Below are 15052 nucleotides of genomic sequence, written 5' to 3'. Positions count from 1 at the left end.
GGGTGTGATGGCACACACCTATAATCCCAGCTACTTGGGAGGCCGAGGCACAAGAATTGCTTGAACCCAGGAGGTGCAGGTTGCAGTGAGCTGAGATCGCACCACTGTACTCCTGCCTGGGTGACAGAGTGAGACTCTGTCTCCAAAAAGAAAAATATAGAGAAAAGATTGGGCAGAGATTGTATGTAGGAAGAGCAGCAGATTGAAAACTATCTTTCTGTATTCATATTTACATTTTTAGATATCAATCTTCTACACGGATATTAATGTTATAACTTGCTACTTTTAGACTTCAAAGATCTGTCCTTCTTATAGCAATTTTCACTGGTTATCAGTTGTAAAATGCAACTTGATTGGTGAAGTGGAAATGAAGAGGGATATGTCCCAATTCCAGCCCCAGATAAAGGCCTATTCCCACCTCAATCCTGGCTATCATTTACTTTCTCACAATATTACCATCTTTGGCCTTGCTTTTCTATTTTACCACAGGAAAACAGAATCCCAGGTAGAGAGGAAGGCATTTGCCCCAAATTATTTAGAGTAACTCCTTGTCAGGACTAAAGCTGAGTTTTGTTTTTTTTTTTTGACAGAGTTTCACTCTTGTTGCCCAGGCTGGTGTGCAGTGGCGTGATCTTGGCTCACTACAACCTCTGCCTCCCAGGTTCAAGCGATTCTCCTGCCTCAGCCTCCCACCTAGCTGGGATTACAAGCATGCACCACGATGCCTGGGTAATTTTATACCTGACTTCCTAAATCCACAGAGAGACCTTAACCCTGATACGGTAGAAAATCACCTTTTTCCCATGATTGAACACCTGCTGTCTGCCAGAATTCATGCTAGGCCTTTATTTACATGTTTGATGACATTTAAAACTCATGATCAATATCTTGATCCATCTTGTGATGGTAAATATTGAGTGTCAACTTGATTGGATTAAAGGATGCAAAGTATTGTTTCTGGGTGTGTCTGTGAAGGTGTTGCCAAAGGAGATCAACACTTCAGTCAGTGGACTGGGAGAGGCAGACCCACCCTCAATCTGAGCGGGCACCATCTAATCAGCTGTCAGCGTGGCTAGGATAAAGGCCAGCAGAGGAACGTGGAAGGACTAGACTGGCTGAGTCTTCCAGCCTCCATCTTTCTCCCATGCTGGAGGCTTCCTGCCCTCAAACATCAGACTCCAAGTTCTTCAGCTTTTGGACTCTTGGACTTACACAGTGATTTGCCAGGGGCTCTTGGGTCTTCGGCCACAGACTGAAGGCTGCACTATCAGCTTCCATACTTTTGAGGTTTTGGGACTCGGCCTGGCTGCCTGGCTCTTCACCTTGCAGACAGCCTATCGTGGGACTTCACCCTGTGATCGTGTGAGTCAATTCCCCTAATAAACTCCCCTTCATATATTCACTTATCCGGTTAGTTCTGTCCCTTTAGATAACCCTGATTAATACATATCACATTTTTTACATTTTAGGAAACTGAGACTCAGAGAGGATAAGTAATTTTGCCCATGGTGAGATAGCCAGTAAAAGATCTGAGCTGGGCTCCTCTGGCTGTGATGTCAAATGCCATGATTAATTTACAACACAGCACTTTTCACACTCTCTAAAACTCCACTGGAGGTTCCATGAGAAATGCCTGTTGTAACTAACCCATTGGGCAGTTGGGATTGCCTTGGCTATTCTCTCAGTGTCTCTGATTCTGGCGTCATGTCCCCATCTCCCACCAGTGTGATGCAGAGAAGCAGCAAACAGGGGTAGCCACCTCTTTTTTTTTTGCGACGGAGTTTTGCTCTTGTTGCCCAGGCTGGAGTGCAATGGCACGATTTCAGCTCACTGCAACCTCCGCCTCCCAGGTTCAAGCAATTTTCCTGCCTCAGCCTCCCAAGTAGCTGGGATTATAGGTGCCCGCCACCAAGCCCAGCTAATTTTTGTAATTTTAGTAGAGACAGGGTTTCACCATGTTGACCAGGCTGGTCTTGAACTCCTGACCTCAGGTGATCCACCCGCCTCAGCCTCCCAAAGGGCTGGGATTACAGGAGTGAGTCACCATGGCCAGCAGCCACCTCTTATTGCATTAGAGCTTATTTCCTGGAGCCCAGAGGAAGCTACCTTTGGTGTTTACACCCCAGCAATGTACTCCCTTAAATGTGATCTGATCTGCAGGCCATGCCTTTGGTTCCCCAGGTTGGGATGAAGACCTCATCTACCTCCTCTATGATGAGCTTAGCAGATAAACCCAACACCTACATAGACGTCCCCACTCTGTCCACCCCTTGAAAATCTTTCTCCTCTCTGTGAGCTAAGAACACGTTGCCTTATCCTTTCAGAAACTTAGAGAGGGTGTAGGTCAATGCAAAATAACGACTCACAAATTCCAACCTGTGGCTACAGATTCAATGGAGGAGAAGGAGAAAAAAAGAAGGGCTGTGTGAACAGAGGGGAACTTAAAATGTAGATTGATAAAGAATGGGATGAGGAAGGAAAACGGAGGGGGCAAATTTGGCGTTCACAGGTGCCTCTGTCTCAGGTGCGCACACATGCCTTATGTTTAACATTAATAACTGCTAAATGATATAAAGTGATATATCAATCAAATTAATAAAGCTTACAATATTTAGAGCATTTAGTTTGCTAAAATCACTGGCATCTGTGCCTATTAAAAATGACAGATGATTAGGATATCCAAAGTTTGGTAGAATCTGCTAGCTAACAAGGTAGAATTAAAATTTACATCTTGTTCTGGCATAATGAAGATAATTAAAAAGAGTGATAAAACCCTTTGATTAACCCTCATCTCCTCTTGCAAAGCATTTTATTATGCAAATGAAACCTCCAACACTGTAAACTTAATACCAGTTAAGAATATGAAGATATTCTCATTTCCAAAGTACAAAGATATGTGCGTACATATAAAATATTTGATTGAAATGGGGTCTGTTTTAAAATAAAGTAGAACTCAGGAGTGTGCAGCTCATGGAACAAAGTTATGTCTCTCTTTGCTGCAGGCTTGAGTTCTTGTCCACTATGCCATCCATGCTGTTCCCTGATAGTTTCTGCTTTGCTATTTAATTACCTGCCCTGACACGTGATAGCACTAAGGGTGCCCAGAACACAAACACAAGAATGTCTATGTCATCCCACGAAGGGCTCATTCGTAGTCCTGACTTTACTTTCTTGAGTTAAAGGGTACATCACTGTAACTCTAAAAAGCAGAAAGTCCCATGTCTGCCCATCTCTGAGGTTTGAGAAGATGTAACCGCCCAACGGGTTCACCTTGTCTGCTGCGTAGACACAGCCCATTTATCAAGACAGAGGAACTTCGATGGAGAAAGAGTAATTCATGCAGAGCTGGCTGTGTGGGAGACCAGGGTTTTATTATTACTCAAATCAGTCTTCCAAAGCATTTGGGGATCAGAGTTTTTAAGGATAATTCAGTGGGTGGGGGGCAGTCAGAGAGTTGGGAGTGCTGATTGGTCACATCAAAGATGAAATCATAGGAAGTCAAAGCTGTCTTCTTGCACTGAGTCAGTTGCTTGGTGGTGGCCACAAGATCAGACAAACCAGTTTATTAATGGTGCCAGCTGATGCATCAAGTGCAGGGTATGCAAAATATCTCAAGCACTGGTCTTAGGTTGTACAGTAGTGATTTTTGTTTTGAGAAAACAAAACAAAAATAGTTTGTTTTGAGAAAGGGCTGTTATCATCTTTGTTTTAAACTATAGACTAAGTTCCTCCCAAAGCTAGTTCAGCCTTCACCCAGGAATGAGCAAGGACAGCTTGGAGGTTAGACACAAGATGGAGTTGGTTAGGTCAGGCCTCTGTCACGGTCTCAGCCATAATTTTGTAATGGTGGTTTCAAAGAGAGGGATTAGAAAATCAGAGGGATGAGATTTTTTTTTTTTTTAATTGATCATTCTTGGGTGTTTCTCACAGAGAGGGATTTGGCAGGGTCATAGGACAATAGTGGAGGGAAGGTCGGCAGATAAACAAGTGAACAAAGGTCTCTGGTTTTCCTAGGCAGAGGTCCCTGCGGCCTTCCGCAGTGTTTGTGTCCCTGGATACTTGAGATTAGGGAGTGGTGATGACTCTTAACGAGCCTGCTGCCTTCAAGCATCTGTTTAACAAAGCACATCTTGCACTGCCCTTAATCCATTTAACCCTGAGTGGACACAGCACATGTTTCAGAGAGCACGGGGTTGGGGGTAAGTTCACAGATCAACAGGATCCCAAAGCAGAAGAATTTTTCTTAGTACAGAACAAAATGAAGTCTCCCATGTCTACCTCTTTCTACACAGACACGGCAACCATCCGATTTCTCAATGTTTTCCCCACCTTTCCCCCTTTTCTATTCCACAAAACCTCCATTGTCATCATGGCCCCTTCTCAATGAGCTGTTGGGTACACCTCCCAGACGGGGTGGTGGCCGGGCAGAGGGGCTCCTCACTTCCCAGTAGGGGCGGCCGGGCAGAGGCGCCCCTCACCTCCCTGAGGGGGCGGCTGGCCGGGCGGGGGGCTGACCCCCCCACCTCCCTCCCGGACGGGGCGGCTGGCTGGACGGGGTGGCTGCCGGGCGGAGACGCTCCTCACCTCTCAGATGGGGCGGCCGGGCAGAGACGCTCCCCACATCTCAGACAACGGGCGGCCGGGCAGAGACGCTCCTCACTTCCTAGAAGGGATGGCGGCCGGGAAGAGGCGCTGGTCACTTCCTAGATGGGATGGCGGCCGGGAAGAGGCGCTCCTCCCTTTCCAGACTGGGCAGCCAGGCAGAGGGTCTCCTCACATCCCAGACGATGGGCGGCCGGGCAGAGACGCTCCTCGCTTCCTAGACAGGATGGCGGCCTGGCAGAGACGCTCCTCACTTCCTAGATGGGATGGCGGCCGGGCAGAGACGCTCCTCACTTTCCAGACTGGGCAGCCAGGCAGAGGGTCTCCTCACATCCCAGACGATGGGCGGCCGGGCAGAGACGCTCCTCACTTCCTAGACAGGATGGCGGCCGGGAAAAGGCTGCAATCTTGGCACTTTGGGAGGCCAAGGCAGGCGGCTGGGAGGTGGAGGTTGTAGCGAGCCGAGATCACGCCACTGCACCCCAGCCTGGGCACCATTGAGCACTGAGTGAATGAGACTCCGTCTGCAATCCCGGCACCTCGGGAGGCCGAGGCTGGCAGATCACTGGCGGTTAGGAGCTGGAGACCTGCCTGGCCAACACAGCGAAAACCCGTCTCCACCAAAAAAATACAAAAACCAGCCAGGCGTGGCGGCGTGCGCCTGCAATCGCAGGCACTCAGCAGGCTGAGGCAGGAGAATCAGGCAGGGAGGTTGCAGTGAGCCGAGATGGCAGCAGTACAGTCCAGCTTTGGCTCGGCATCAGCGGGAGACCGTGGAAAGACAGGGAGAGGGAGACCGTGGGGAGAGGGAGTGGGAGAGGGGCGAGGGGAGAGGGGCGAGGGGAGAGGGGAGAGGGAGAGGGAGAGGGAGAGGGAGGAGATTTTTTTTTTTAAAGGATTGACTCTCTCAACAAGTAATTGCTCTTCTCCCTGAGAAATATTTCTTCTTCAGTCGTGCTAAAGAGAAGTTCAGGATGGCTAAAAGTGGTGCCGAGCTGATTTAATAAATTTTTTCTTGGCCAAGTGAGTTAATTGGCAGGAAAATAACAAAAGTCACTGTGAAAGAAGGAAATCAAATTCCTTTGCCTCTCTTTGCACTCTTCAGCCATTGTTCTCCACCCTCTCTCTTCACAGGGAATGAGCCTTGAGTTATGCTGTGAGAAGCAGCCAGCGTTAGCAAGAGAAATCTGAATTTCCTTCCAAGAACAATGCTTTGAAGCAGAGCCAAACAGATAGATGAGGTGGAGTGCAGGGGTGGACACATGAAATGAGATTTACAGCCTAGAGGACTTGGGACAAGACAAAGCTGAGAAGCTCGGGGGAGACTAGAAATGCAAGAAGTAATAAAGGTGGAGGGAGAGAAGTTTTGGAGGAACCCACAGAGAAGAATGCAATCTGAGGATGTAGTAGAGAGAGATGGGGCCATAAACCACGGAATGCTGACAGCTCCCAGAAACTGGAACAGACGAAAGATAAATTCTCCCTTAGAGCTTTTTTGGGGGAGCATAGCCCTGGTGGCACAGCGATACTGACTTCTGACCTCCAACACTTGAGATAATAAATTTCTGTTGTTTTAAGCCATGGGGTGCATGGTCAATTTATTACAGCAGCCAGGTAAAGTAATACAGCTTTTAGTATCAGGAAGTGAGAAGTTATACAAAAAGTGTAACCACCCAAGGGGTTCACCTTGCCCGCTGCCTAGACACAGCTAATTTATCAAAACAGGGGAATTGCCATAGGGAAAGAGTTTAATTTATGCAGAGCTGGCTGTTTGGTAGATCTGGGTTTTATTGTGACTCAAATCAGTCTCCCTGAGCATTCTGGGATAGGAGTCTTTAAGGATAATTTTGTGGATGGGGGACAGCCAGTGAGTTGGGAGTGCTGATTGGTTGGGCAGGAGATGAAATCACAGGGAGTCGAAGCTGTCTTCTTCTGCTCAGTCAGTTCCTGGTTTGGGGGCCATAAGACCAGATGAGCCAGTTTATCCATCTAGGTGGTACCAGCTGATCCATCAAGTGCAAAGTCTGCAAAATATCTCAAGCACGGATCTTAGGTTTTACAACAGTGTTGCTCTCCCCGGGAGCAATTTGGGGAGGGTCAGAACCTTGTAGCCTCCAGCTACATGACTCCTAAACCAGAATTTGTAATCTTGTGGCTAATTTGTTAGCCCTACAAAGGAAGTCTAGTCCTCAGGCAGGAAGGGGGTTTTGTTTTGGAAAAGGGCTGTTGTCCTCTTTGTTTCAAAGTTAAACTATGAGTAAGTTCCTCTCAAAGTTAGTTTGGCCTACACCCAAGAATGAACAAGGACAGGTTAGACTCTAATCTAGAAATCTAGAAGCAAGATGGAGTTGGTTAGGGCAGATTTTTTTTTTTTTTTGAGACATAGTTTCGCTCTGTCATCCAGGCTGGAGTGCAGCGGCGCGAACTCTGGCTCACTGCAAGCCCCGCCTCCCAGGTTCGCGCCATTTTCCTGCCTCAGCCTCCTGAGTAGCTGGGTCTACAGGCGCCCGCCATCACGCCCGGCTAATTTTTTGTGCTTTTAATAGAGATGGGGTTTCACCGTGTTAGCCAGGATGGTCTTGATCTCCTGACCTCATGATCCGCCCTCCTCGGCCTCCCAAAGTGCTGGGATTACAGGTGTGAGTCACCGCGCTCGGCCAGGGCAAATCTCTTTAACTATTATAATTTTCTCAGTTATAATCTTGCCATGGTGGTTTCAAAAGGTGACTGGAAGAAAGCGGAAGGAATGCTTGCCTCATCTTGCAGACATCAGGTGCATTCCTGAGAAGCTACAGGTAAGCTTGGTCCTTTCCAATATGGTCTATCTTGTACCAGTGTTCTCATCTTGAAAATGGGAACTATAATAACACCCACCTCGTAGAGTTGTTGAGAGGATTAATTCCTAAATGTAAATGGCTTAAAAGAGCATCTGGCATAGAAGCTGTACTACAGAAATGTTAGCTTGCAGTTCTGCTACTGTTGCTACTGTTATTTATTATGTTTATTATATTTGCTGCAATTTGCATGCCTTCCTGATTATTGCAGGGCCTCTTTGAATAATTTCATTTACCTAAGTATTTATTTAAAAAAAAAAAACACTTGAAGTTTGTTTTCCAAAATATGATAAACAGTTATTTCTTGGTGAAGGGTTGGCCATAGAATTTTATTTGCCTCTCTTTGCTTCTATTTCCTAAATTTTTAGCAATGAACACATATTACTTTGGTAATAAAAACATTAAAGTTTTGTTTTAATTTTCCTTTTTAAAGACTGCTTTGTTTTAATTCTTAACAAAAGTGAAGAAGCTCAAAGTCAGAAATTTTAATGCCAGTGAGTTGATAGAGAACACTATATATATATATATATACACACACATATATATACTTATATATACATATAAGTATATATAAGTATATATATATATACTTATATATAAGTATATATATATACTTATATATAAGTATATATATATATACTTATATATAAGTACATATATATACTTATATATGTGTGTGTATATATACACATATATACTTATATACGTGTGTATATATATACTTACATATATACTTATATATGTGTATATATACTTATATACGCATATATGTATCTCTATATACACACATATGTATATTTATTTATATTTTCTTAATTACTATATATATTATATTTATATTTTCTTATTTACTTTTCTTAATTACTATATTTTGCAAGAATCGATATTATCTTTAAAGCAAAATTAGGAATGTTTTTTTCTCCAGATACTGGGATATCTGGACACTCCCAAGTCTGGGTCTGCTTAGTAAACCTCATTTATTTGTTCCCTTAAACGTACACATTTAGAGGCTCAGAATGCCTAACTTTCTGGGAAAGCAGCCCAGCAAGTCACTACCTCATTTTCCAGCCCTCACTCAAAATGCAGTTGCTGTGGTTCAAAGGCCTCTGACAATAACAGAAAGCATTTCCAGACATTGTCAAGTATCTCCTGGGAGTGGGGTAGGGACAAAAATCACACCACCACTGCCTCTCCTTTCAGTTGAGAGCCACTGCATAGACCAAAGTCCAGCATTGCTTCCTTCAGATTCTGTTCAGGGAAAATCTGTTGATGGGAAGTCCTGGCCCAGATTCTGACCAAGCTTGTTCAACCTGCAGCCTGTGGGCCGCATGCAGTCCAGGACAGTTTTGAATGTGAGACAGGGTTCTTGCTTTGTCATCCAGGCTGCAGTGCAGTGGTACAATCATAGCTCCCTGCAGCCTCAGTCTTCTGGGCTCAAGAGATCATCCCACCTCAACCTTCTGAGTAGCGTGGACCACGTGCGTGCACCACCATACCCAGCTAAGTTTTTATTTTCTGTAGAGATGGAGTCTCACTATGTTCCCCAGGCTGGTCTTAAATTCCTGTGTTCAAGCAATCCTCTGCCTCAGGCTCCTAAAGTGCTGGGATTACAGGCCTGAGCCACTGCTCCTGGCTGCTTCTTCAGTTCTGTCACTCACTAGCCATATGACCTTGGGCAAGGCATGAAACTCCTCCAGTGTGCAGTTTCCTCACCATAAAATAGGAGTTAATAACATCAAACTTTACATCATTTTCATGTGAATAAGAGGTAACATATAGGCCACATTGCACTATGCCTGGTACACAGTAGTGCTTAATAAATACTTGGTCCGTTCCCTGCAAGTTGGTTGGTGTGTCTCAAAAATAAGACCGATTAATTAACAATACTGTATAATTGACTCCCCCCATCAAAAAGTCATCAAACCAATTAGGTACCTGCTTCTTTTATCAAATCCAATTTTCCAAGCCTGCTTTGTCTCCACCCCAAAACCTCAGTAAAAATAAAATATAGAACCCAACTTGATGCAAAATTATGATTTTTTTTTTCTTTTTGTAGTTTAGGAGGGTCTGAATAGAAACCCCTTATCAGATTCCTTCCTTATCAGAAGGAATCCTTTAAACATGACCATCCTCCTGGACGAATAATACAGATGTAGGGCCAGAGGTCGGTTACTGAGCAAAGAGGAAATACTGCTAGCAGCAACCCTACCCCTTCCTGTTGGCTGGGATTGGCTTTAATCTGCTTCCATTGTCGTTTTGAAGTCTGGAGATATTTGAGTATAGCCTAATTAAGTAGTTGTAGGCCCAGAGAGAATTTATTTTTGTCAAACACATGTCATGGAGGGGCACGTGTCATTGTAAAACAAGCTGGCTCTCTTGAGACCTGTAGTTCCCCGAGCTGTCCTGGGTCTTGATCGTGGTGATTCTCCCATAGAGTCCTTTCTGAGGTGATATATGAGTTAAGAGGAAATCACTTAAACAGTAAGGGTGTGGGAGTCCTCGGTAAGGCTTTTCTGTTTAATGAAAAGCATCTTCAAATCATTTTCTCACAAAGAGCAGCCTGTAAAGTTGAGCTGGAGACATAGACAAGCAAGTTGGGGGAGTTTGCACGAGTGAATGCCGGCAGGTACTAGCAACTAGACATGTTCAAGATGGTGGCACCATCTTCCCTTCTCTTTGTCAGCCACGTGTACAATAAAGAGCAGAGAAGATGGCACCGATCATCTGGAAAGCTCTTTTGCATAATAAGATTAGGGTGAGGCGAACAGCCTTCCTCACACGCTATGTAAACGTCATACCTGTTCGAACCAATCTGTGAACGGTATGCAAATCAGACACTGTCGTCTCTAGCCTGCCTGTAAAATCGGCTGTGGTCCAAAGCCTCCCTCCTTTTTTAGACCTCTCTCCTCTCTCTTCGCTCTCTCTCAGAGCTGCTCTCCTCTCTCCTTTCTTCTGTCTATTAAACGTTCCACTCCTTAACCCACCCACATGTGTCCGTGTCATGAATTCTTTCTTGGTGCCGGACAACGAACCCCAGGGTATATACCCCAGACAACGTAGCCGTTTCAGAGGGATGCTTGAAATGTCTGAGGGCATTTCCCTCCCTGGGCCTCCTTTCTGTGTTTGTGGCAGTGTAGAATTTAGGTATTAGCTGGGTAACCTTCCGAGGCCGGAGAATAGGGTCTGGAGGCAGGAAACCTAAGGCGGTGTCACGCCGACTTCCTTTTCTGCGAGGTAGATGGCAAATTGAAAGTACCTCTGATTGGTTGATTTTTGCAACCAAGCAGAGGTACTTTCGCTTCAGCCTCTGGTTGGTTGCTTTTCACAACCAATCAGACTGGTGGCTGGCCCTCTCTTAATTTACATGAGCTGAGCTCCAAGCGGCCAATGGGAAACCTCTAGCGGGTTTGGACCAGAGAAGATTCTGTATCTGGGCCCTTGAGCCCCTATGCTTGGGCCTGCTGCGACCCTGTGGAGTATACTTTCGTTTTCAATACATCTCTGCTTTTATTGCTTCATTCTTTCCTTGCTTTGTGTGTTTTTGTCCAATTCTTTGTTCAAAATGCCAAGAACCTAGACACCCTCCACTGGTAACACTTCAAGTGACAACACCTCTGAGCCTCAGTTTTCTGAGTTAAAAATGAGGATATTAAGCTAACCTAATTAATGAATTTAACATTTATGAAACATCTGTTTTGTGCAAGTCACTGTGGAGAATTGTTTTAGCACAGGAGGTTTTTTTTTTGTTTTGTTTTTTTGTTTTTTTGTTTTTTTTTTTGAGACGGAGTCTCGCTCTGTCGCCCAGGCTGGAGTGCAGTGGCGCGATCTCGGCTCACTGCAAGCTCCTCCTCCCGGGTTCACGCCATTCTCCTGCCTCAGCCTCCCGAGTGGCTAGGACTACAAGAGCCTGCCACTGCGCCCGGCTAATTTTTTTTGTATTTTTAGTAGAGACGGGGTTTCACCTTGGTCTCCATCTCCTGACCTTGTGATCTTCCTGCCTTGGCCTCCCAAAGTGCTGGGATTACAGGCGTGAGCTGGCGCGCCCGGCCGAGCCCAGGAGTTTTTAAACCCCAGTTGCGAGGGTTAAAAAAAAAAAGAACAAAAAACCCCACAAATGGTGTCACTGTCTTCATGGAACTTACGTTTAGTGGTGTCCTGCTAAGGTTTAATACATGGATTTCAAAAAAAGAAAAAAAAGGACCTAGTTTGTAATATTTGCCAATTTTAGTGGTGTAAATATTCCCACCATGGCTGACTTTGTTTTTTTGAGATGGAATCTCACTGTGTTGCTCAGGCTTGACTGCAGTGTCATGATCTCAGCTCACTGCAACCTCCGCCTCCTGGGTTCAAGCGATTCTCCTGCCTCAGCCTCTCGAGGGGCTTGGATTACAGGCGCCTGCCACCACGCCCCACAAATTTTTGTATTTTTAGTAGAGGTGGGGTTTCACCATGTTGGCCAGGCTGGTCTTGAACTTCTGACCTCAGGTGGTCCACCTTTTTCAGCCTCCCAAAGTGCTGGGATTACACGCGTGAGTCACCGTGCCCAACCATCATGGTTGACTTTAAGTTACCAGTGTAACATGGGTGAATGCAAAGGTAGGAGGCACTGTGCAAGGTCAACTCCAATGAGCTGATGCACACTGGCTCCAACTCATCATTTCTATTAAAACATTAAAAACCTCAGGAAGGTATCGTGAGGATTCAGTGAGGTAATAGCAAGCACGTAGTTTGCACACAGTGAGGAATGAATACGTGAGAGCCATCATTACCACTCGAGCAGCAGGAGCCTTACTTAAATGCCACATAGCAGGGACTGCAAAGCTGACCTTCCTCTTTCTCACTCCTACAAGCCGGTCTTTGCCAAGTTCTGTGAGTTCTTCCTCTGTCAAATCATTCTGTGGCTTCCTCCTGCCGTTGGCCTCCTCCTGTTGTCGTTACTATAGGTACAACTCTGATTTTAGTTTTCTCAGAGTGTCTCAGAATCAACCGGCCTAATGGTGCGTGCAGATTCTAGCGTCCCATCCAGAGAAGGTAATTCAGAAGATTTGGAGCAGGTCTCAGAGACCCTGTGTTTTCACAAGTAACCCTGGTGATTCTCCTCTAAGGGGCCCATGGAACTCACTTTAACAAACACTACTGAGAGTTTTCTTTTCCCTTTAAAGTCTCATGACTTTCTGGCCCATATTTGTACTTTAATAAGTTTATTCTGTCAGACAAATTTAGATTATTTCTGCCTTTCCGTTTTATGGTGGCAAGGGAGTCTAATGGATGAGAAACCCAAGAGATAAAATCTTTACAAATCTGAGAAGGTAAAAGTATCTCATAATAGATGGATAGCAGTTACAATTTATTGAAACTTAGTTTATATGTCAGCCAGTGATCCAACCCTTTGATGTGAAACAACTCATTTTAATTTAACACCATACTAGAAGATAGGTAACATGATATAATAATCATCACCTGTATTTTATCTTATTTTATTTTTTTAAGACAACATCTTGTACTGTTGGACAGGCTGGAGTGCACTGGTGCAATCTTGGCTCACTGCAACCTTCACCTCCTGGGTTGAAGTGATTCTCCTGCTCAGCCTCCTGAGTAGCTGGAATTACAGGCATGAGTCACCATGCCCACCTAATATTTTTGTATTTTTAGTAGAGACGGGGTCCCCCCATGTTGGCGAGGCTGGTCTTGAACTCCTGGCCTCAAGTGATCCACCTGCCTCAGCTTCCCAAAGTGCTGGGATTACAGGCATGAACCATTGTGCCCAACCTATCACCTGTATTTTATAGGCGAGGAAACTGAGGTGCAGAGAAGATAAGTACCTTTTCTAAGATCACTTAGTCAATAAGTCATAAACTCCTGACATCAACCCAGCTAGTCTGGTCCTAGAACCCTTCACCCTTAACCACTGTGCTAGGTGCTATCGTGCTATCACCAGGGTTCTTCGAGTTGATGAGTCGGTTTTCATAATCCACACAAACTAAACATTCAGATTCTCATTTAACTTTTACAAGTTGGAGAAGTGATTGGAGGAGAGTGCTTGCAGTAGTAACTAACACTAACAATAGCTGACTTTCACTGAGCACTTAACTTTATGTCCTGGTGACTGTTCTATGCAGTATCATGTAATGATGGAAAGAGGAGACATCACAAGCTCTAGGACTGAGAAAGAATTGAGACTGGGAAGAAGGAAGACTAGGTAAACAGAGCAATCTAGGAAACAGAGTTGATGGATCAGTGAGAAGAAACAGATATATGGCTAATAGTAGAGAGTAATTAAGGCAGTTTAAAGAGCGAAGACTCATCGTTAGCACAAGGGACCCTAGCCTCTAACCCAAGGAAGAGAATGGCTGTGCTTTTTCACTTCCCTGTTCCAAGCTCAAGATTGTGTATTCTATTTAATTTAATTAATTAATTAATTTATTTGTTGTTTTTTGAGACAGGTTCTGGCTCTGTCACCTAGACTGGAGTGCAGTGGCACAATCTCTGCTCGCTGCAACTTCTGCCTTCTGGGTTCAAGCAATTCTCCTGCCTTAGCCTCCCAAGTAGTTGGGATTACAGGTGCGTGCCACCACATTTGGCTAATTTTTGTATTTTTAGTAGAGATGGGGTTTCAGCATGTTGGCCAGGCTGGTCTCAAACTCCTGGCCTCATGTGATCCACCTGCCTCAGCCTCCTAAAGTGCTGGGATCACAAGCGTGAGCCCCTGCGCCTGGCCTCAGAATTGTGTATTCTGAGCCTCTGCTGGTCAGTCAAAACCGCAGAGTTTGAGCTGGGGTGGAGAAGGCAGGACAGGAACCCAAGTAAAGTGAATCTCTTAGATTCTTAGGATTATCCACAGTTAACACAGCCTCAGAGATGAGCCAGGCCAGCCAGCTCACTTTACAGATGCTGAAATCAAAGATATGAGAAGTGATTTTTCTTGAGGTCAACTTGTAGGGATACAGACACTGCTATATTGGCAACTTATTAGTCTCTTCACTGCCAGAATGGTGCCCCCTCTATCTGGCTGTCTGTATATGTGTCTGTGTGTGTGTCTGTGTGTGTGTGTGTGTGTGTGTGGGATATGAACTACAAATACAGTTCATGTAAGATATTAGGAAAGTCTTTGGTTTGAAACCAGAAAGTTTGCCTCCTCTCAACGATTCCTTTGTGGGGGATGGGGAAAAAGCAGAAAATATTTTGAGAACTTATGAAATATTGAATACGTTCTTTGACAATACATACATGCATGCCTACACATACATATACATATATGTGCATAGGCATATATGCATTTGCACAGTGATCTGGCCACCGTTCATACGTCAAACTTTTCCATAGCTACAGAACAAGCCTCTCCTTGTAACTGGAACGAGAAGATGCTGAAGGAAATGTAAATTTTTTTAGTGGGATCAGGAGTTGGTCCTGGAGAAATAGCATATACCACCCCAACATGGGAATCAATAAACACCCTGGTCTAAGCCTTTTTCAGAATGAAAGGCTTTAATACAGAAGTTCTAAACTCTAAATCTAAATAAATTTTCAAGTCCCATGCTACCAACTTTCAACACTTCCCCATACAACAATGTTGCCCACCTACAGCACTCAAGGAAGATTGAGGGATGGAATCTAGG

The 15052-nt window shown here is 44.8% G+C and overlaps 1 long non-coding RNA gene across 1 annotated transcript in view; it reads left to right on the top strand.

Moving 5' to 3' along the window:
- The first annotated feature begins 7063 nt into the window (after positions 1-7063).
- LOC105371069 (uncharacterized) overlaps positions 7064-15052 on the top strand; it is a 236274-nt gene continuing 228285 nt past the window's right edge. Inside the window, exon 1 of the long non-coding RNA NR_197430.1 lies at positions 7064-7397. This is a non-coding gene — a long non-coding RNA (uncharacterized LOC105371069). The remainder of the gene's footprint in view (positions 7398-15052) is intronic.

The sequence above is a fragment of the Homo sapiens genome, chromosome 16, assembly GCF_000001405.40.
Source record: "Homo sapiens chromosome 16, GRCh38.p14 Primary Assembly".
NCBI lineage: Eukaryota > Metazoa > Chordata > Mammalia > Primates > Hominidae > Homo > Homo sapiens.
The sequence above is the reverse complement of the archived record's forward strand: the minus strand, read 5'-3'. Positions and strand labels throughout refer to the sequence as shown.